Source organism: Homo sapiens, chromosome 5 (assembly GCF_000001405.40).
Source record: "Homo sapiens chromosome 5, GRCh38.p14 Primary Assembly".
NCBI classification, from domain to species: Eukaryota; Metazoa; Chordata; class Mammalia; order Primates; family Hominidae; genus Homo; species Homo sapiens.
Window position 1 is genome coordinate 32,034,471 of NC_000005.10, and position 22,643 is coordinate 32,057,113.

A 22,643-nucleotide genomic window follows, 5' to 3' on the forward strand; every position below is an offset into this window, starting at 1 on the left:
GCCTTAGCCTTCAGAGTAGCTGGGATTATACAGGCACGTGCCACTATGCACAGCTAATTTTTGTATTCTTTGTAGAAGTGGGGTTTCACCATGTTGGCCGGGCTGGTCTTGAACTCCTGGCCTCAAGTGATCCACCCGTCTCCGCTTCCCAAAGTGATTACAGACGTGAGCCATCACGCCCAGCTGGAACCAGGAATTTAACTCACTCTCTGGTAATTGCTGTTCACAGTCTGGAGACAGTATGGAAAGAACCTGGAGACAGGTTCTTTGCATAAAGTTTTTAAGTCAAGCAAAGGGGAGGCTCTAAGGCTTTTCTCTAGATTCTTCCATTTGTATGTGGCCCAGAGCTCAGGATGTCTCAGAGATGGCTCTTTCTTCTCTGTGTACATATTGATGTCAGGATTTGGGGTTGGGAAAGACATCCCTCCAGGGAATCTCTAAAATCACCCTCAAGATTCTGTTCCTGCTTTTTCTTCACAATTTAAACCTGAACACCTGCCAGTTCCTGATAAGGTAATATGAATGCAACAGATTTATTACCTTTGTTTTGTATGTCAGAATTAATTTGTTTTCTCAATGCCCCTTTCTCAATTTTGCCTACGTTTCCTCATTCTCAGACCTTTTTATTCCTGTTTCTAACCCAGAAAGATACTTGAACTTGAGGAGGAAGAGGGAATCTTCCAAACTTTACATATTGTATACAGAATTTGTATATAAACAATTATTTCTTAAAAGAGATTACCTACGTAATTACTCTAACTGCTTACTTTATACGTTTTTATGTATTGAATTTTTTTTTTTCTTTTTTGAGATGGAGTCTAGCTCTGTCACCTAGGATGGAGTGCAGTGGCGTGATCTCGGCTCACTGCAACCTGCGCCTCCCAGGTTCAAGTGATTCTCCAGCCTTAGCCTCCCAAGTAGCTGGGATTACAGGTGTGTGCTACCACACCCAGCTAGTTTTTGTATTTTTAGTAAAGACAGGGTTTCACCATGTTGGCTAGGCTGGTCTTGAACTCCTGACCTCAGGTGAATTTTTTTTTAAGAGAAAGAAAGGGTCTTGCGATGTTGCCCAGGCTGCTGATGTTGACCTCCTGGGCTCAAGTGATCCTCCTGTCTCACCCTCCTGAATAGCTGGGACTACAGGCACCCGCCACTGTACCCAGCTATATACTGAATTTAATATACAACATATAATTTTCATTACCTGTTAATTTGAGGGTGAGAAGTGACACTATAATTACATCACCTTTTGATAACTGGTAAGAGAAAATGCAAATCAAGAAGCTTTTGAATACATACAAAAAGCACTTTAAGTAGGACCAGGTTGATTTCTCCCAACCCCAATTGGGAGGAAGATTCCTGCCAGTTGAGTTTAACTTCATAGTCATGAACTCCAGACAACTGTCAGGCTGAATGGCATCTTTAAGAGAAGCCAGGAATCTTTTCATCATCAACCTTTGTTTTGTTTTGTTTTGTTTGTTTGTTTGTTTTGAGACAGAGTCTCGCTCTGTCGCCCAGGCTGGAGTGCAGTAGCGTGATCTCGGCTCACTGCAACGTCTGCCTCACGAGTTCAATCAGTTCTCCTGCCTCAGCCTCTCGAGTAGCTGGGACTACAGGCACCCGCCACCATGCCCGGCTAATTTCACACCCGGCTAATTTTTTGTATTTTTAGTAGAGACGGGGTTTCACTGTTTTAGCCATTAGCCAGGATGGTCTCGATCTCCTGACCTCGTGATCCGCCCACCTCTGCCTCCGGGCATGAGCCACTGCACCCGGCCTCATCAACCTTTCTTTACTTGATACCTTATATGCCTTTTTAAGTATGTATATCTTACTTAGTGAGAATATTACCTATTTTAATATAAGACTGTTTTCCTCTAGAACCTCAAAGGAAAATAAAATTTCAAATGGGAAGATTTATTGTTTGATGTATCTCAAAAGTCTTGTACATGTAAATTTACCCCACAATTTTTTATAAACACTCTGAAGTGCATGTGTCTCATTTTCTTCTCTAGTAAATGGGGGTTTTGTTTTGTTTTTAGCATGTTGGGTTTCTCTAGGATGGAGGACCCAGTGAGCCTTGGGATCAGACTTTGTGTATCACCTCCTGGGGTCACACAACTTCCAGATGTGTGGGCTGACCTCATGTCGACGCCTCCAGGGTGCCTGGGGCTGAGCTTGATTCCAGGAGCCGTCTGATCAATACTCACTCCGGAGCATAGCACACAGAACATTTGGTTGACTAAAATGTATAGCTGCCATAAAATCAAATTTTTACTGTATTTTAGAAACCTTAGAACTGGGTTTGAATTTCTGGTTTAATATTTGTTGCAACTTGCATTGTGGGAAAAAGCACTGGCCTACAGGTCAAGAGACCTGGGCTTGCGTTGTAGCTTTGTCGTTGACCACTGGGAGACCACCTGGGTAACTGACCAACAAGTGTCCTCAGGTGTAGGATGGAAGACGAAGTGGCCCTGGGGGCCCTGGTTCCATGCTGCGCAGTGAGACGTGTGCTGAGGAGGACTGGGGGCCCCTGGTTCCATGCTGGGCGGTGAGACGCGTGCTGAGGAGGAATTGGCCAATGCAAGGCGTTGCGAATGCAGCTTATCTGAAGGGCTGTGCTTTGATCCCGTGGTCCTTCTTCTCACATAACACCTGTATTGCTGCTCCTTGAGCCTTGAGATAACATTGTGGAGGGGGACAGCATAAGTCATCGCAGGGCTGGGCTCTCCCATCAGCTCTGTGCTTTCTGCATTTCAGATGCCTGGGACAGATGAACCCCAAGATGTGTGCGGTGCTGAGGAATCCAAGGGGAACTTGGAAAGTCCCAAACAGGGCAGCAATAAAATCAAGCTCAAGAGTCGCCTTTCAGGTAGGTGGGGGCTCTACCTGATGCAGCCTGTCTAGGATGAGTTTTCAGCCTCAGGAGCAGGGAGATGAAGCCATTGCCGGGATGAGCTCCCGTCTTCCTTAAAACCTCAAAATCATTTTTACCTTGGATGGTGCATATCCCAGGCATAACAACTGCATTTAGCCTCCTGCCTGTGTGAATTTCATTTTTTTTGAGTCATAACAAAGTGGATGTCAACATTCCTGTGTGTCTCTGTGTCCTGAAACATGACTGTCTTATGTTTGGTTCGTTTACTTCGATCAGATTTCACATGATCCTTTCAATGTGGAGTTAATATCAAATCTGCATTTCAATAAGCAGGAGAAAGATGGGATGGAGTTGCAGCTTTTGGAGCAAATAGACTCTATCTCCTGGGCATTTCCTTACGGCAGCTGGCCTGGGCCCAGAGAGAGAAAGTCAGCATTGAAAGCAATGGCTCTGTGCAGGAGGCACCTTAGAACTTTTGTGTATCATTATGAAAGGCATTTTTTTTTTTTCTGAGATGGAGTCTTGCTCTGTCACCCAGGCTAAAGTGCAGTGGCATGATCTCGGCTCACTACAACCTCCGCCTCCCGGGTTCAAGCAATTCTCCTGCCTCAAACTCCCGAGTAGCTGGGATTACAAGCGCCCGCCACCGTGCCTGGCTAATTTTTTTGCATTTTTAGTGGAGACAAGGTTTCACCATGTTGGCCAGGCTGGTCTTGAACTCCTGACCTTGTGATCCGCCCGCCTCAGCTTCCCAAAGTGCTGGGATTATAGGCGTGAGCCACCGTGCCTGGCAAAAGGCATTTTTTAGGCACATGATGGGTCTTTTCCTCCATTAAAAAAAAAAAAAAAAAAAGTAAAAATAGTATTTTATGGCTGTGTTGGTATAAAGATACAGCTGGAGGCCGGGCGCGGTGGCTCACACCTGTAATCCCAACACTTGGGAGGCTGAGGCAGGCAGATCACGAGGTCAGGAGATCAAGGCTATCCTGGCCAACATGGTGAAACCCCGTCTCTACTAAAATACACACACACACAAAAATTAGCTGGGTGTGGTGGCGTACACCTGTATTCCCAGCTACTTGGGAGACTGAGGCAGGGGAATCACTTGAACCTAGGAGGCTGAGGTTGCAGTGAGGCCAGATCACACCACTGTACTCCAGCCTGGCAACAGAGCAAGACTCCTCTCAAAATAACAAAAAACAAAAAAACAAAAGATACAGCTGGATTCATTAGTGTCTATTCATTACTATTACGTTTATTTTTTTTTCTGCTTATTTAAAAAGATATTTAAAAGGAAACACTTTTATGGGTCCCTGAAGGTGGCATGGGCCCTCAGCACTGTGCCTGCTGGCTTAGTGGGAAAGTCAGCCGTGGCTCCCCCTACAACAGTCATCTGGTATGGCAGGAAAAGCAAGAGTTTTGAAGCCTGGCAGAACTAGGTTTAGCCCTCAGCTCCTGAGTTACCTTGTGACTGTAGGCTAATGATTTAATCTCCCTGAACTTCCACTCCCTCACCTGAAAAAAGAGGAGAACACCCTGACTTTGAAAGGCTGAGCAGATTTTTAAGAAATGCACATTAAAGCATTTAGCACAATGTGTAGTACGTTAACGTTCAAAAAACATTCACGTCCCCTTCCGGCCACCCAGATTGGTGGAGAGGGCATGCCCGCACTGCTCCAAGTTTATTCTCAGAAAGATGGCAGGTTTAAGACGGTGAAATACCTGTTTTTAAGAAAACATCCTCTCTCTCCCCCTCTCCCCCTCTCCCTCTCTCCTTTCTACGGTCTCCCTCTCTTGCCGAGCCTGGACTGTACTGCCATGATCTCGGCTCGCTGCAACCTCCCTGCCTCAGGCTCCCGTGATTCTTCTGCCTCGGCCTGCCGAGTGCCTGGGATTCCAGGCACTGCGCCCCCACTCCTGATTGGTTTTTGTATTTTTGGTGGAGACGGGGTTTCGCCGCGTTGACCGGGCTGGTCTCCAGCTCCTGGCCTCAGGTGATCTGCCCGCCTCGGCCTCCCCAGGTGCTGGGATTGCAGACGGAGTCTCGCTCACTCAATGCTCAATGTTGCCCAGGCTGGAATGCAGTGGCGTAATCTCAGCTCGCTACAACCTCCACCTCCCAGCCGCCTGCCTTGGCCTCCCAAAGTGCTAAGATTACAGCCTCTGCCCGCCCGCCACCCCGTCTTAAGAAGTGAGCAGCGTCTCTGCCTGGCCACCCATCGTCTGGGATGTGAGGAGCCCCTCTGCCCGGCCACCCCGTCTGGGAAGTGAGGAGCACCTCTGCCCGGCCGCCAACCTGTCTAGGAAGTGAGCCTCTGCCTGGCCGCCCATCGTCTGGGATGTGAGGAGCGCCTCTGCCCGGCCGCCCCGTCTGGGAAGTGAGGAGTGCCTCTGCCCGGCCGCCACCCCGTCTAGGAAGTGAGGAGCGTCTCTGCCGGACTGCCCATCGTCTGGGATGTGAGGAGCGCCTCTGCCTGGCCGCCCCATCTGGGAAGTGAGGAGCGCCTCTGCCCGGCTGCCCCATCTGGGAGGAAGTGAGGAGCGCCTCTGCCCGGCGGCCCCATCTGGGAGGAAGTGAGGAGCGCCTCTGCCCAGCTGCCCGAATGGGAAGTGAGGAGCGCCACTGCCTGGCCGCCCCATCTGGGAAATGAGGAGCGCCTCTGCCTGGCCGCCCAGTCTAGGAGGAAGTGAGGAGTGCCTCTGCCCGGCCGCCCCATCTGGGAGATGAGGAGCGCTTCTGCCCTGCCACCCCATCTGGGAAATGAGGAGCACCTCTGCCTGGCCGCCCAGTCTAGGAGGAAGTGAGGAGTGCCTCTGCCCGGCTGCCCCATCTGGGAGATGAGGAGCGCTTCTGCCCTGCCGCCCCATCTGGGAAGTGAGGAGAGCCTCTGCCCGGCTGCCCCGTCTGGGATGTGAGGAGCGCCTCTGCACGGCCACCACCCCGTCTGGGAAGTGGGGGGCGCCTCTGCCCAGCTGCCCTGTCTAGGAAGTGAGGAGCCCCTCTGCCTGGCCGCCCCGTCTAGGAAGTGAGGAGTGCGTCTGCCCGGCCGCCACCCTGTCTAGGAAGTGAGGAGCGTCTCTGCCGGACTGCCCATCGTCTGCGATGTGAGGAGCGCCTCTGCCCTGCCGCCCCATCTGGGAAATGGGGAGCGCCTCTGCCCGGCTGCCCCGTCTGGGAGATGAGGAGCGCCTCTGCCCGGCTGCCCCGTCTGGGAGATGAGGAGCGCCTCTGCCCTGCCACCCCATCTGGGAAATGGGGAGCGCCTCTGCCCGGCCGCCCCGTCTGGGAGGAAGTGAGGAGCACCTCCGCCTGGCTGCCACCCCATCTGGGAAGTGGGGAGAGCCTCTGCCTGGCTGCCCTGTCTAGGAAGTGAGAAGCGCCTCTGCCCAGCCGCCCCGTCTGGGAGGAAGTGAGGAGTGCCTCTGCCCGGCCGCCACCCCGTCTGGGAAGTGGGGAGCACCTCTGCCCAGCCGCCCTGTCTAGGAAGCGAGGAGCGCCTCTGCCCGGCCGCCCCGTCTGGGAAGTGAAGAGCGCCTCTGCCTGGCCGCCCTGTCTGGGATGTGAGGAGCACCTCTGCCCGGCTGCCACCCCATCTGGGAAATGGGGAGCGCCTCTGCCTGGCCACCCCGTCTGGGAGGTGAGGGGCGTCTCTGCCCGGCCGCCCCGTCTGGGAGGTGAGGGGCGCCTCTGCCCAGCAGCCGCCCCGTCTGGGAAGTGGGGAGCGCCTCTGTCCGGCCGCCCCATCTAGGAAGCGGGGAGCGCCTCTGCCCGGCCGCCCCGTCTGGGAAGTGGGGAGCGCCTCTGCCCGGCCGCCCCGTCTGGGAAGTGGGGAGCGCCTCTGCCCGGCCGCCCCGTCTGGGAGGTGGGGAGCGCCTCTGCCCGGCCGCCCATCGTCTGGGAAGCGAGGAGCGCCTCTGCCTGGCCGCCCCGTCTGGGAAGTGAGGAGCATCTCTGCCCGGCTGCCCCATCTGGGAGGTGTACCCAACAGCTCCGAAGAGACAGCGACCATCGAGAACGGGCCATGATGACGATGGCAGTTTTGTCATCAAGAAAAGGGGGAAACGTGGGGAAAAGAGAGATCAGATTTTTACTGTGTCTGTGTAGAAAGAAGTAGACATAGGAGACTCCATTTTGTTCTGTACTAAGAAAAATTCTTCTGCCTTGGGATGCTGTTAATCTTTAACCTTACCCCCAACCCCGTGCTCTCTGAAACATGTGCTGTGTCAACTCAGGGTTAAATGGATTAAGGGCGGTGCAAGATGTGCTTTGTTGTTAAACAAATGCTTGAAGGCAGCATGCTCGTTAAGAGTCATCACCACTCCCTAATCTCAAGTACCCAGGGACACAAACACTGCGGAAGGCCACAGGGACCTCTGCCTAGGAAAACCAGAGACCTTTGTTCACGTGTTTATCTGCTGACCTTCTCTCCACTATTATCCTGTGACCCTGCCACATCCCCCTCTCCGAGAAACACCCAAGAATAATCAATAAATACTAAAACAACAACAACAACAACAACAACAACAAAACTATAGGTAAATAAATTTGAAAAAGAAAGCAAAAAAAAAAAAAAAAAACATCAATTGCCGGGCTCGGTGGCTCACGCCTGTAATCCCAGCACTTTGGGAGGCCGAGGTGGGCGGCTCACGAGGTCAGGAGATCGAGACCATCCTGGCTAACACGGTGAAACCCTCAGGAGATCGAGACCATCCTGGCTAACACGGTGAAACCCTGTCTCTACTAAAAATACAAAAACAAAAAAATTAGCTGGGCATGGTGGCAGGCACCTATAATCCCAGCTACTCGGGAGGCTGAGGCAGGAGAATGGCATGAATCCAGGAGGCGGAGCTTGCAGTGAGCCGAGATTGCACCACTGCACTCCAGCCTGGGCGACAGAGTGAGACTCTGTCTAAAAAAAAAAAAAACATCTGGCCGGGCATGGTGGCTCACGCCTGTAATCCCAGCACTTTGGGAGGCCGAGGCGGGTGGATCACCTGAGGTCAGGAGTTCGAGACGAGCCTGGTCAACATGGCAAAACCCCATCTCTACTAAAAATACAAAAAAAAAAAAAAAATTAGTTGGGTGTGGTGGCATGCGCCTATAATCCCAGCTACTCGGGAACCTGAGGCAGGAGAATCACTTGAACCCAGGAGGCAGAGGTTGCAGTGAACCAAGATTGCGCCACTGCTTTCCAGCTGGGCAACAGAGCCAGACTCCATCTTAAAAAGAAAAAGAAAAAAAAGAATGTGATTGACAGAATGAGTTATTTTGTGCTCATGACTCAGAATAATTAGGCGGTGTTACGCTTGAACGAGTTACAACATGGATTGGGGACCGAAAGGAGTGGTGATGACCAGAGGCTGAAAAGGAGAAGTCTGAAGGGAGCCGGTGACCAGCCCCTTCCAGCCCTGAGGAAGAACAAAGAGAAAGTCATTTAAGGCCTTTGTGTTTGGGGCGAGGGAGTCACAAGGGCACAGAGGAGGCCTTCCTGTTGTCCATCTTGGCAGAGTTGTTCAGGACCTTATAAAGGGCTCCCAGGGAGGTGCCCAGAACTCTGAGGAAATACAGGGGCCTCTGAAACCAGCGAGGTCACATTCCTCATTTTATGGATGAGACCAGAGAAGTTCAGAGAATCCCAAAGGTCACTCAGTCAATGCCGGGAAAAAGATCTGCCTCCCAGACAGAATTCTCCTTCCCTGCCCTTTGGCTTCTGGGGAATCTTGAAAAGAATTCTATTCCAGGGAATCTTGAAAAGAATTCTGTTCTCCGATCTGGGGCTTTATCAATACAGATATGGGGAGGGGGCGCTGGAGGGCCTCCCAGATGTGTGATACTCTGACTCTGCTCCTACTACTTAATTCAGAACAAGTGGCATATTTGGCTGAGTAGCTATTCCAGGGCTGGCCACTGTTTGCCACAAATGGATGCCACCCTCTCCTCCTGTGTCCTTCCCAGACATTCAAGGCCACAACAAGGAAACGTAGCATGGAGGAGGAAGCATATGCAGGAATCCAGCAGAACAGGGTCGGTTCCCACATCCACCACCTCTGGTTACATGACCTGGGTCAGGTGACTTTCTTGGATCTCAGTTTCTTTATCCGTAAAATGAGGGTTATGTTCTGTATTTATTTTGCCAATAAACATGAGTGCCTTCTAGGTGCTGTGCCTTGTTGAAAGGTTGCTTTGGAAGAATGCATATGGCACTACCACTCCATGGTGTGGCAGCAAAAAGCCCTCGCCATGAGGCGGCTGCCACTGTTATTACCACTGTCATTTTCTTTTTCTTTTTCTTTTTGAGATGGAATTTTGTTCTTGTCTCCCAGGCTGGAGCACGGTGGTGTGATCTCAGCTCACCACAACCTCCGCCTCCCAGGTACAAGTGATTCTCGCGCCTCAGCCTCTTGAGTAGCTGAGACTACACGCGCAGGCTACCACGCCTGGCTAATTTTGTATTTTTAGTAGAGACGGGGTTTCACTGCGTTGGCCAGGCTGGTCTCAAACTCCTGACCTAAAGTGATCCACCTGCCTTGGCCTCCCAAAGTGCTGGGATATCAGATGTGAGCCACCGTGCACGACCTAACCACTCTCATCATTAATATTATGTTCATTGTCATTTTTATTTTCATTCTTATTGTTCTCCTTCCATCTCAAGAGAGGAAGAATGGGTTTGAATGGGTTCAGACAGGAAGGCCTTCTAGGCTGGGCTTGGTGGCTCATGCCTATAATCCCAGCACTTTGGGAGGCTGAGGTGGGCGGATCACCTGAGGTCAGGAGTTCGAGACCAGCCTGGCCAACACGGTGAAACCTCATCTCTACTAAAAATACAAAAATCAGCTGGGCATGGCGGCAGGTACCTGTAATTGCAGCTACTCGGGAGGCTGAGACAGGAGAATCGCTTGAACCCAGGAAGCGGAGGTTTCAGTGAGCTGATATTGTGCCACTGCACTGCAGCCCGGGCAACACCAGCAGAACTCCGTCTTAAAAAAAACCAGAAGGCCTTCTAAAGAGCTTATAGTCCCAGTGGGAGGTAGTACACACATACACACAGTGACGGGCACCATGAGGCACATACGAGAGGTACAGGGAGTGGAAGTCTGTCTGGATCTCAAGGATGCAAGATAAAGAGAGGCAGTATGCTGGGGGAATTTGGTAGACTGGAAGCAGGGGACAGCGGTCTAGACTTAGGACAAAATGAATGAGAGATGCTTAGGGATAATGGGAAAAAAATTAATTCAATACGTTTTTGGCAGCTGCTTTTCCTCCCCAGCCACTTGAAAAAGCCAAGAGACTCTGACAGTCGCAATGCTTCAGTCCAACAGAGTTTGTCAGAGTCATTAGGGAAACGGACATAGCAGAATTTTTGGGTGGGAGATGATGGTGCAGGGAAAGTTGGGTAAAACTTCACGTGATATTTACATGCTCCGCAGTTTTGGAAAGAAGAGGACAGATCTCTCCTTTGACAAGCATCAGGATAGATCAGCGAATAGAGTGGATAGTGGAAGATAAGTCTGGAAAAGTAATTTAGAGACACATTAAAGAGGCTTAAGGAATTGGGCTTTGATTCAGTGCTGTGAAATATGTTCATTCTAAAGATATTTACATGCAGATTTTTAATGTGATCAGCTCTTAATTTGTCCTGTAAACTTGGATATTTAGTTCATGTTTTCTTAAAATGAATCACTCTGGTATCCACATATCAGCATAGATGCTACTGTATGTGGTTTCTCTTCTGTTGATGACAAGTGCCTCCCTGTCAGCTCAAAAGGAATTTTCTACTAATAAATCTTTTTCAGATGAGTAAGCATGCCAAGAGAGATTAATCTGGTCCTGAGTTAGTATTAAGTCATGAATTATTAAAGAGCTCCTGTAGAGGTTCCAACTCTTTCCACTAAGGTTTTGCCCAGACTGGCTCCAAAATGGCTAAAGCAACATCATCTCTCATTTCATGGAACATTTTTCTGATATTCTAACCTGGGTTTTCCTTACTTCATACCCCTTTTTTGTCAGCAGAGTTTCCTTTTAATTTTGGTACTTTCAGTTTATCTATGTTAATATCTTAGATTTGTGATCTTTCTTTTTTTTTTTTTCCCAAGACGGAATCTTGCTCTGTTGCCCAGGCTGGAGTGCGGTGGCGTGATCTCAACTCACTGCAACCTCCCCTTCTGGATTCAAGCGATTCTCATGCCTCAGCCTCCCGTGTAGCTGGGACTACAGGCACATATACCACCACGCCCAGCTGTTTTTTTTTTTTGTATTTTTAGTAGAGATAGGGTTTCACCATGTTGGCCAGGATGGTCTCGATCTCATGACCTTGTGATCCACCTGCCTCAGCCTCCCAAAGTGCTAGGATTATAGGTGTGAGTCACCGCGCCCAGCCTATGATCTTTTTAAGAACAAAATTTGTCTTGATTGCAAATCAATTTCATATGTTTAAAAACCTGTATCACAAAATAAATATTTAACTTTAAAAAAAAAACAAACCTTTAATGGCATTCATTGCCATATGACTGTATCAGCTTTCTTCCCACTTTCTATCACTTTTAATAACTCATCAATACTTTTTAAAACAATAATCTTGTTTTATTCAGTGCAAAACTTTCAGAGTAATATTTAGGTAAATTGAAATTTTAGGTAATCAGATGAAACATTACCTAGTCTAGGTGATGAACTTGATATATGAGGAATCTGTATATACACACAAACACATATGTATATACATGTACACACGCAGATAGGTATTGTATATCATATAAACATTGTAATATGATTATAGCTATATTCATATGTAGTTGATACATCACTTAAGATTAATGTCCCTTAAATTATTTTAAAATAACATAATATAGACTAGGTATTGATAAAGTCTTTAAAATTGTTACTATAGAAGTTTTGTTTTTGTTTTTGTTTTTTTGAGACAGTCTCTCACAGTGTAACCCAAGCTGAAGTGCAGTGTTGCGATCTCAGGTCACTGCAACCTCAGCCTCCTGGGTTCAAGCAATTCTCTGGCCTCAGCCTCCTGAGTAGCTGGGACTACAGGTGCACCCCACCACACCTAGCTAATTTTTTGTATTTTAATAGAGATAGGGTTTCACCATGTTGCCCAGTGCAGTCTCGAATTCCTGAGCTCAGGCGATCGGCCCACCTCGGCCTCTCAAAGTGCTGGGATTACAGGCATGAGCCACCGCACCCAGCCTAAATTGTTACTATAGAAGTATCTTTAAAAGAACACAAAATTTTAAACCATGAAGTTTTTAAAAAGACGTACTGTACTACATTAAAATTTTGAACTGTTTTTTCAAAATATACATTAAGACAGTGAACAGGCAAAGCGTAGACACGGAGAAGATATTTACAATCCATAGATCCCATAAAAGACCCTTATTCAAATTACATTAAAAATTTGAAAAAATGGGCCAGGCGCAATGGCTCATGCCTGTAATCCCAGCATTTTGGGAGGCCAAGGCAGGTAGACCACCTGAAGTTAGGAGTTCAAGACCAGCCTGGCCAACATGGTGAAACCCCATCTCTACTAAAAATAAAAAAATTAGCTGGGCGTGGTGGCGTGCACCTGTAATCCCAGCTACTCGGGAAACTGAGGCAGGAGAATCACTTGAACCTGGGAGGTGGAGGTTGCAGTGAGCAAATTGCGCCACTGCACTCCAGCCTGGGCAACAGAGAGACTCCATCTCAAAAAAATAAAAAGAAAACACCAATAAATAAATAAATAAATAAAAATGCCTATAAATCGATAAGAAAGACATCCAATTTTAAAATGGGCAAAAGACTTGTTCAGGCACTTTACAACTTTACGAAAGGAACACAGCCAATGAATGTATGAAAAGAATCTTGATCTCGTTAGTCATCAGTGAAATGCAATTTAAAAAAAACAAATGAATACCGTCATATTTTCCAGAATAGCCAAAATTAAAGACTGACACTGCCCAGTGTGACAAAGATGTGGAGATTCTAGAACTTCCCTGTGCTGGTGAAACAGCATGGGTAAAGCTGGACAGATGCTTGTAGTGTAGCCCAGAGACTCCACTCCTAGGTGATATCTAATGACATGTGAGAGAATATTTAGTAATGGGATATTCTAGATCAAGGTTCAGCAAGCTCTAGTCCACAGCTTTGTTTGTAGGGCTCACAAGCTAGAAATGCTTTCTACATTTTTAGTGGGTTGTTAAGAAAAAGAAGAAGAAAAAGAATACGCAACAAAGGCCATTTGTGGCCCACAAAACCTAAAAACATGGCAAAAAGCTTGCCAACTCTTTACCAAAAGAAGTGAACATACCAAAAAGTGTTGCCAAAAATCTTTGCTGACCCTTGTTCTAGATCTAAAACTGGAGACACAAGCCAAATGTCCACCAACAATAGAATGGATAAGTAAATTGTGGTATGTTTAGACAACAGAATGTGTTTAGACAACGGAATAGCCTACAGAATGGGGATGAACAGGCTATTGGCATGCAATACCGTGGTTGAATCTCATAAACAAATGCTAAGAACAGGAGCCAGACAAAAAGCATGTGTTGTGTGTATTCATTGATGTAAAATTAAAAACAGATAAAAGTAATCTGTAATGTTAAAAGCTGGGATAATGGTTACCCTTGGGTGAAGGATGGTTAGTAGCACAAAGGGTGTTTTTGAGGTTCTGGTTAATATTCTGCTTCTTGATCTAGGTTTTGGTTATGGGTATATGAAATTTCATTGAACTGTGTATTTATGAGTTGTGCACATTTCTGTAAGTTGTTATACTTTAATCAAAAGTTTATTTTAAAAGTCGTGCCTATACTTGGAAAAAAAACATCTGCACCAACAATGAAACTATACCAATCACAAAATGATATTCCTCCATCATCAGGAAAAATTCTAATAGCCTTCTCACTATTCCCTTATCCACCAGAGCTACATCTTATTGGGAACACACATTTACATTGCCCCTCATCTAATCTGGTCATTTCAAAAACTGGCAGTTTTTTCGTAGCCTGACACTAATGGCTTCAGCACGTAACTAGCTTATGCAGAGATTGCTATTAGGATGGGCTAGGCTCTGTGCTTTGAGTGTATTGGACGCTAGGCTTCTCAAAACCATGAAGGTGGGTGTAAATACAATGAGTTTATGCCTCTGGATGTGCTTACGATTCTTTTTGTCCCATATCAAACTATGTTTTCTCCTCTGTTTTCTCAAGGGGGTGTACACCGCCTTGAGTCAGTTGAAGAATATAACGAGCTGATGGTGCGGAATGGGGACCCCCGGATCCGGATGTTGGAGGTCTCCCGAGATGGCCGGAAACACTCCCTCCCGCAGCTGCTGGACTCTTCCAGTGCCTCACAGGTCCGACCAGGGCTGTGGATCTTTTCAAAGACCATAAGGGCTTACATGTTAAGAAGAACTGCCCATCCATACAGGCCAGGAGTGTCTGGGGCTAGAGAAGTGGGATAGAGAGAGACAGCAGGCAAAGTGAGGTCTACCCAGAGAGGCTACAAAGAAGTCAGCCTAATACTTGAAAATAGTGGGGGGAAAATCCCTCATTGGATCTCAAAATGTTCATCTCCTTCCTACTGTGTGTTTTGGAACCTAGAGGTGCTTTCAATTGCCAGGAGACGATGGCGTCTCATAGTCTGTGGTGAACCAGCACTGCTCGATTAATAGGAGCAGCCTGTATCAGTGTAACAACTGTGGGTGGGTATGGGCACATGTATGAGAGAGGGAGTGTGCGTGTGTGCCTGTACATGCATCCATGGCTCACCTGGAGTCCTACCTGTTACACAGTAATGACTCAAGCAGCCAAGGTCATGGGGGGCTGTAGAGGGGGGCTGCACTAGCTGCTCAAGTTGATGTTACAGAACCTGCTCCCGTCTGAGATCCGGACTCCACAGCCCTGCATGAGGGCCGCTCCTCCATCTCAGCATCCTCAACCTGGTAGAAACCGGTCAGGTGGTCTCCTAACCAAGGCTAAGGCAGGCTCAGTCCCTGAGAAACCTGTGGGGTATTCTTTGAGTCCTGGCACCACTAACCAAGGGGCTCAAGAGGAACCGTTAGCAGCTTGTCCCCAGCCCTATGATGAAGCAGAGATAGAGGACGGGCGTGGCAGCAACGACCTCCACACATGCTTGGAAAGCTGTAGAGGGTAGAGTTCTAAAGGACCTGGGTCAGGGCATCTGAGGCAGGCCCTTACTTTTGGTGTGTTATGACCCATTTACAGATGGAGCAACTGAATCTCAAAGGGGTTAAGTATTTTGCCCAAGGTGATATGCCAGAACCTCTGTAAAGCTTTAAAGGTGCTCGAATCAGTCAATTATGTGTCAGGATAAAGTATTTCTGTTGCTTCCGATGCCCTTTATCTGACCAGGAGAATAACAAGTGCCCATGTTTCAGGGACAATTGCTCATCAGCCCATTTTGGGTTGAATTCACCCAAAGGCAACTTGAGGGGCATTGGGGCATTGAGTAAAAGCAGAGAAAAAACTGGCATGGGACCAGTCAAACTTGTCCAGGCCCAGGACTGCGACCTGCTCAGAATGGTCCTGTTGGACCCACAGAGTCAGGGGAGATCAGAACATTGGAAGATGGCCTGTCAGTCGTTCTATTTTTTATTTTTTGAGACTGAGTCTCACTCTGTTGCCCAGGCTAGAGTTCAGTGGTGCGACCTTGGCTCACTGCAACCTCCACTTCCCGGGATCAAGCAGTTCTGCCTCAGCCTCTCAAGTACCTGGGATTACAGGTGTGTGCCACCACACCCAGCTCATTTTTGTATTTTTAGTAGAGACGGGGTTTCATCATGTTGGCCAGGCTGGTCTCAAACTCCTGACCTCAAGTGATCCACCTGCCTCGGCCTCCCAAAGTGCTGGGATTACAGGCGTGAGCCACCGTGCCCGGCCTTGTCAGGCTGTGTGAAAGATGAGAGAGGGTTTACAGCCATCATGGCCACAGATCGAGCGTTGAGGTAATTTCTTAACTGACCTGCTGAGGAAACCCGACAGCATTTGTAGCCCAGAAACATCCATTTTTAACCACACTTCAGGGATCGGGAAGCCCAGGCCAGGGTAGAAAGTTTGAAAGGAGAGTTTTTCCCTCTCTTTTCAAGAAAACTGTCCTTTCTTTTGTCTCCTCTTTTTATTTTCTGCCCTTTTTCTCCCAGGATTCATCTTTCTTTTTTCTTTGTCTCTCTCCCTCCACTATAAAGTATTATCTACAACCAGGATCATGCCCGTAATCCCAGCACTTTGGGAGGCCAAGGTGAGAGAATTGCCTGAGCCCAAGTTCAAGACCAGCCTGGGCAACATGGCAAGACCTTATCTTTACGAAAACAAATTTTTTAATTAGCTGGGTATGGTCGTGCATACCTGTGTTCCCAGTTACTTGGGAGGCTGAGGTGGGAGGATCGCTTGAGCCCAGGAGGTCAAGACTGCAGTGAGCTGTGATCACGCCACTGAATTCCAGCCTAGGTGATAGAGTGAGAGACTCTGTCTTAAATAAACAAATAAAATAAATAAATAAGTATTATCTAGATTTGACCTCTCCAGTAAAACTTTCAGCAATGATGGAGATGTTTTTTATTTGTATCGTCCAATATGGTAGCCGTATATGTCTACTGAGCACATGAAAAGTGGCTAGTGGGGGGTGTATTTTTAATTTTAATTAATTTTAATATAGATACCTACAGGTGGCAAGTGGCTACCATGTTAGACAGCACGGGTCTAGAAAGTTCAAGGAGATCCTGGAAACTCTCTGAGAGGTTGGTGAAGCCTACAGGCCTTTGGTTCCTTCTGGTTCCCAAAAGAGAGATGGAGTGAAGTACTGCTGAAGATGGTGACCAGAGAAAGAGTTCCCTTAGGAGTTCACACACAAACCTCCGTATTCAAGGACTGAAAAACCCAGGCGATGTTTGGCCATCACTGCAATGGTTTCATTAAAAGGGCAGTAACCTTGCCAAGCCCACATCATTTTTTTTAATGATTGAAAGTCTGGGAGGCCAACATTGTTGGCAGATATTTTGTAAAACCGCAAAAAAGAAATAATAATAATTGTTCTAAGCTGCCAAAAATACAAAAATATCACTGGGGACATCTAATTTTTGTGTTTGAATGTAGTATACACAGAGATTCAGGATAAAACTGTTTTGCGATGTCTCTTTTCTCATATTAAACATAAAGTGATTTTTTTGGCTTAGGTAGAATATCTGCATCAGTGAAGAAGTTTATTATTCTAAGAAGAATAGCAAGGAGCAAGATTATAGAAGTGCTTTGGTGATAGAGTCATTTGATCTCTTTATGTTCTAAGGAGCGCAGCCTGCTTACACGCGTGTATATTATGGGTGATGGACACAAAAAAGGGGTGAGATTGGAGCTGCTGCGTGTCAGGAAGGGAAAGTGTGGCTCATTATGGGAAAATACTTTATTTTCCAAATGTGAGAGATGAGAACTGAAGCTGCTGCCGTCTCTCAGCGGGATGTTTTATGTGGAATAACAGTTGTCTGGGTTTGTGGTTTGGGTTTTATAAGAAACAAGGGCTTGCTGAGTTTTTGATCGAGTGAGTTAGGCTTAAAATGGCAAGATACTTTCTAACCATGATGGTGAACTTGGGATGGAGGCAGGGGTGACTACCAAGGGAAAGCCCGACCACAGGTGGTCATCCTGTATCACTGAGGCCTCTTGTTTCTGCTTCCTGACTCCATTCCAGATGTAGAATCTGTGGAATGAGGTCAAGGAAAGAGCAACACAAGGTGCTTAAGATCCCCAAGCAGTTCTTTATGTGGGGGAAGAAGTCATGGCAATCTGTTGTAGTAGGGGCTATTCTTCCGATAGTTTTTTTGAGACGGAGTCTCACTCTGTTGCCCAGGCTGGAGTGCAGTGGCACAATCTCTGCTCACTGCAACCTCCACCTCCCAGGTTCAAGCGATTGTCCTGCCTCAGCCTCCTGAGTAGCTGGGACTGCAGGCATCCACCACCACACCCAGCTAATTTTTGTATTTTTATTAGAGCCGGGGTTTCACCACGTTGGCTAGGCTGGTCTCAAACTCCTGACCTCAGGTGACCCACCTGCCTTGGCCTCCCAAAGTGCTGGGATTACAGGCATGAGCCACGGTGCCCAGCACCTGCGATAGTATTTATAGGAAACTTTTTTAAGTCACTGAACCAGAGAGAAATGTCTAGTACTGAAGACATCTAAGATTTTCAAAGTCTGAGTGTATTTTTCTGCCAGATACCACAATAGAACAAATGAGAGTAATCTCTGACCTTGCCGTGTGCTGACTTTTAGGAATACCACATTGTGAAGAAGTCTACCCGCTCCTTAAGCACGACTCAGGTGGAATCTCCTTGGAGGCTCATTCGGCCATCCGTCATCTCGATCATTGGGTTGTACAAAGAAAAAGGCAAGGTGAGCTCTTTTCTGCAGACTGTTCTGCCTTCTGGGTGAATCTTAGCACACATTTTTTGTTTTATTTTATTTTATTTGTTTTTGTGTTTTTGTTTTTAGAAACAGGTTCTTGCTCTGTTGCCCAGGCCGGAGTGCAGTGGTGCAATCATGGCTCACTGCAGTCTTAAACTCCTGGGCTCAAGCAGTGCTCCCACCTCGACTTCCCAAAGCACTGAGATTATAGGCATGAGCCATTGCACCCAGCCACACATGTTCTTTAAATGGTTACTTTTTATTTGTCTTTACATGAAATGAAAAGTAACAGGTATAAAGAAGGACCGCTAAAGTGGCCTCTGTATGGATTCAAGTGGATTCCCTGGCATTCTGTACCATAGGTCTCAGTGTGAGATGGCCATGCCCTCTTTGCTCCTACGATGTAAGGAGTCACCAGCACTTGGCTGCTAGGGCCAGAACCAAGGGTGCAATGAATGACCCTCAACTTTTACCTCCAGTGAAAGAAAAGCAGAGCCTGCAGCTTCAGGGAGTACCCTTGGTTATCCTTTTGAATGAATTTCATGGCGTTGCCATTATCATAAAGGAAATGATATGAATAACTTGACATTACACAAAAATCAAAATATTCATTTTGATATTATACAAAATGGAAAGACTAAAACAAAAGAAAACAAATGTGGCACCTGCATGTAAGTGGGAAATGACTCTTAAGAGCTATTTAGTGGATCCATATGAAATTGCCATTTGTGGAGGTCAAAGATTGTCAAATATTGGCAATTTGGTATGTTTCTGCCTAAAACTTTTTCCCTTAATGTAATGCATGGCTAGTGCAGCGTAAATAGATCGGAGGAGGGGAATAAGGAAGAGAACACAAACTTGAGTTTGCAGCTAGTTGCTTAGTTTAACTCCAGGCCTGGTTAGGGAGGGCACTTCAGTTAAATACTACAATGGGACAGATGCCTTCAGTTAAATACTACAATGGGAAAGATGCCCTCAGTTAAATACCACACTGTCAACCTGGACTCTCATCTGCTTCGGATCTAGGGCCTTGGCTTTAGTATTGCTGGAGGTCGAGACTGCATTCGTGGACAGATGGGGATTTTTGTCAAGACCATCTTCCCAAATGGATCAGCTGCAGAGGACGGAAGACTTAAAGAAGGTAGGGGAAAGCCTCTTGTATCCTCAGTGACAGTGACTTTGATCCCATGAGAATCTGCCTCTTCACAAGATGTGAGTGAATGCCACAGTACCTAGTAGACCTCGGCGGAATCTGCCTGGCATAGTCAGTGTAACCTGAGCTTCACTTTCCCTAGTTGTAAACTTGGAATATTAACACCTGCCTTGAAGAGTCGTTGTCAGGATTACATGAGATAATATGTGGAAAGTGGCTTAATACTTCTGTTGGGGTCTTTAGTGTCTATCTTGTCAACTTGGTCTGATCATGTTCCTTTCCCTGAAAATTTTGAGAGTTTGGGGTCCATTCTTACCTTAGGGCTGGTGTGGAAGCAGAGCGCCTGGTCATTAGTGGATATTTAATATCTTGCTACAGAAATCAACCACCACATAGTCTGGTTCCTAAATGAACATCTTTTTTTTTTTTTTTTTTTTTTTTTTAATGAGACAGGGTCTCAATCTATCACCCAGGCTGGAGTGCAGTGGCATGATCATGGCTCACTGCAGCCTCAACCCCCTGGGCTCAGGTGATCCTCCCACCTCAGCTTCGTGAGTAGCTGGGACTATAGGTGCACACCGTCATGCCTGGCTAATTTTTGTATATTTTTGTAGAGACGAGGTTCCACCATGTTGCCCAGGCTGGTCTCAAACACCTGGGTTCAAGTGATTCGCCCACCTCAACCTCACAAAGTGCTAGGATTACAGGCATGAGCCACTGTGTCTGGCCCTAAATGAACATCTTTTAATTCTCAATAGCACCTGCCATTTTGCCATATGCGAATATACTAGACAAGTGCTTCTGAATGCAAATTAAAGTAATATTGAGGTGCCAAGTTCTACCTTGCAAATAATTTTTTTAATGTTTAAATATATCATTTTATAGTGCTTTAAACACTTAAAAAGCAATTCCACATATTCAATTATTTCACTAACTGCCTTGCAAACTTGTCAAATTGGCATTTTGGAGTGACCATCTTAGAAACAGAAAAGTGACACTCAGAAATGTTAAGTGACTAGAAACTTGTCCCATCCTTAGTAAAGAGCAGAAGTGAAATTTAAACCCAGCTTTGTGATTCCAAGTTCAATTCACTTTCCCACCTTACTTGAGAAAATAAAATATAAATAGGCCAAAGTTTCCTTTCTGTACAGACACAATAGCTGCTTTTGATAGAATATCTAGAATAGATATACATATCTTTATATTTTCTGTGAAATGTTTATCTGGATTAAGATTATATACTTTTTATAAAGAAGAATTGCCCAGAAGTTCTGAACACACACACAGGTATATACATATATATATTTATTTTATTGTACTTTAAGAGGCAGGGTCTTGCTCTGTCATCCAGGCTGGAGTGCAGTGGTGTGATCATAGTTCACTGCAGCCTCAAACTCCTGGGCACAAGGGATCCTCCTGCCTAAGCTTCCCAAGTAGCCAGGACCACAGGTGTGCACCACTGTGCCCAGCTAAATTTTTTTTTAAGAGATGGAGTCTCACTATGTTACCCAGGCTGATCTCGAACTCCTGGCCTCAAGTGAATGTCCCACCTCTGCCTCCCAAAGTGCTAGGATTACAGGCCTAAGCTACAGCACCTAGCCTGCACATATTTTAAATAGCATTCACCAGAGCATGAATCCCGATTTTTTCCTCTCACTTATTAATATACTTCCTTCTTGAAATATTTAAAGTAGAATATTTTTAGTTATCTTCAAAAATGCTGTGACTGTTCAGTTCAATTGACCTAAACTTCAGGTGCTTTTGTGTTATACGGGTTCTTTTTTTGGAACTGATGAGAATGAATTGGAATCTCCTATTTTTTAGGCAGAGCAACCATCGAACCCTGTATGCTAACAATAAGACATGACCAGGCTTCATTCTCCCACGGCAGAATATTTATTTCTGTCTCTTAGAGGAAGGGTTAACTCCCAGGTGGTGTTTGTGTTGAGTTTTAGAACAATATAAAATTCTAACAGAGCATTTTTATAATGGATGTGCCATGTGTTCACTTAATTGAAACTCATCCTGCAAGGCTGGTAAAATGGAGCAAAACGGGGAAAAAAAATCAATAGTTAAGAAAGGTTAATAGCACTTGATTCTCCTAAATAGCGTTTTTTCATATGTGTTCATTTACAAGAAACGTAAGTCATTGGAATGGATTTCAACCTGTTGAGTGATACTTCTTTAAAAAACTTTGCATACATTTTAAGAGTGCGAGTAATCATTTTAATATTTGCTCCTTTTCCCCTATGGAAACAACCTAAAAACATCCACCTCCTCACCTAATTGAGTAATTGGTTATGCCAGATTTTTAAACAGAGATTACTTCACTTATTTTATAGCTTCTATAATTGCATTAAGGGGAAGCCACATAACAAATGCATGGGGCACAGCTACATTTTTGTAACTCATCTACAGGATTCCTTGAATTGTGCACACAGTGTGCTCCTGGGATTGGCTGTCTGCGAGAGGTGACAATGTGTGTTCTTATGCTGCTTTGCACTTTCTTATAGGCGTACAGAGTCCCTCTTCTCTACAGCAATGCTGTGCAAAGTTCATCTGTTCTTCTCTCTGGGGCATCTTTGTAGTGTTTTTGATGAACTGTTATTCCAAAAAAGCAGGCCATGTCACAAGAGTGCAAACCAGAAACGAGCTCTGATAAGTCAACAGGATGTCCAAGTTCTTTTATATTCCTAGCAGACGCTATCAACAGCTTGAAAAACGACCTGACTGTGCCGCCTTAGAGTTAAAAATAATAGGAGAGCTGGGGCAGGGGGCCATGTGCGAGCATATTCCTGCACATGCCTGGCAAATTAACATGACCCTGCAGTCATCTCTGAGATAGAAGCTTATAGTAAACTTGCCAGCTTACTGACAGAGAACCTGGAACTGCATCAGCAAGATTATTTTTGGGCCGGGAGCAGTAGCTCACACCTGTAATCCCCGCACTTTGGGAAGCCGAGGCGGGCAGATCACTCAAGGCCAGGAGTTCAAGACCAGCCTGGCCAACATGGTGAAACCCTGTCTCTACTAAAGATACAAAAAAAAATTAGCCATATATGGTGGCGTGCACCTGTATTCCCAGCTATTCAGGAGGCTGAGGCATGAGAATAGTTTGAACCTGGGAGGCAGAGGTTGTAGTGAGCTGAGGTCACGCCACCGCACTCTAGCCTGGGTGACTGAGCCAGAGCAATACTCTGTTTCAAAAAAAAATTTTT

The 22,643-nt window shown here is 46.3% G+C and overlaps 1 protein-coding gene across 8 annotated transcripts in view, besides 1 other annotated feature; it reads left to right on the plus strand.

Annotated features, from left to right (window-relative positions):
* Positions 1–22,643, plus strand: part of PDZD2 (PDZ domain containing 2) — a 471,802-nt gene that overhangs the window by 395,340 nt on the left and 53,819 nt on the right. For all 8 annotated transcript variants that reach the window (XM_005248269.5, NM_178140.4, XM_011513992.3 and 5 more), the window contains 4 exons: positions 2,761–2,872; positions 14,069–14,214; positions 18,141–18,260; positions 19,299–19,413. In XM_005248269.5, coding sequence (XP_005248326.1) covers positions 2,761–2,872; positions 14,069–14,214; positions 18,141–18,260; positions 19,299–19,413 — 493 coding nt within the window. The remainder of the gene's footprint in view (positions 1–2,760; positions 2,873–14,068; positions 14,215–18,140; positions 18,261–19,298; positions 19,414–22,643) is intronic.
* Positions 6,907–7,439: an enhancer, noted in NCBI's record as "NANOG hESC enhancer chr5:32041483-32042015 (GRCh37/hg19 assembly coordinates)". NCBI's record gives its function as "activates a minimal SCP1, AML or CMV promoter by ChIP-STARR-seq in primed H9 embryonic stem cells {active_cell/tissue: H9 hESC(primed)}" and the evidence as "EXISTENCE:reporter gene assay evidence [ECO:0000049][PMID:30033119]".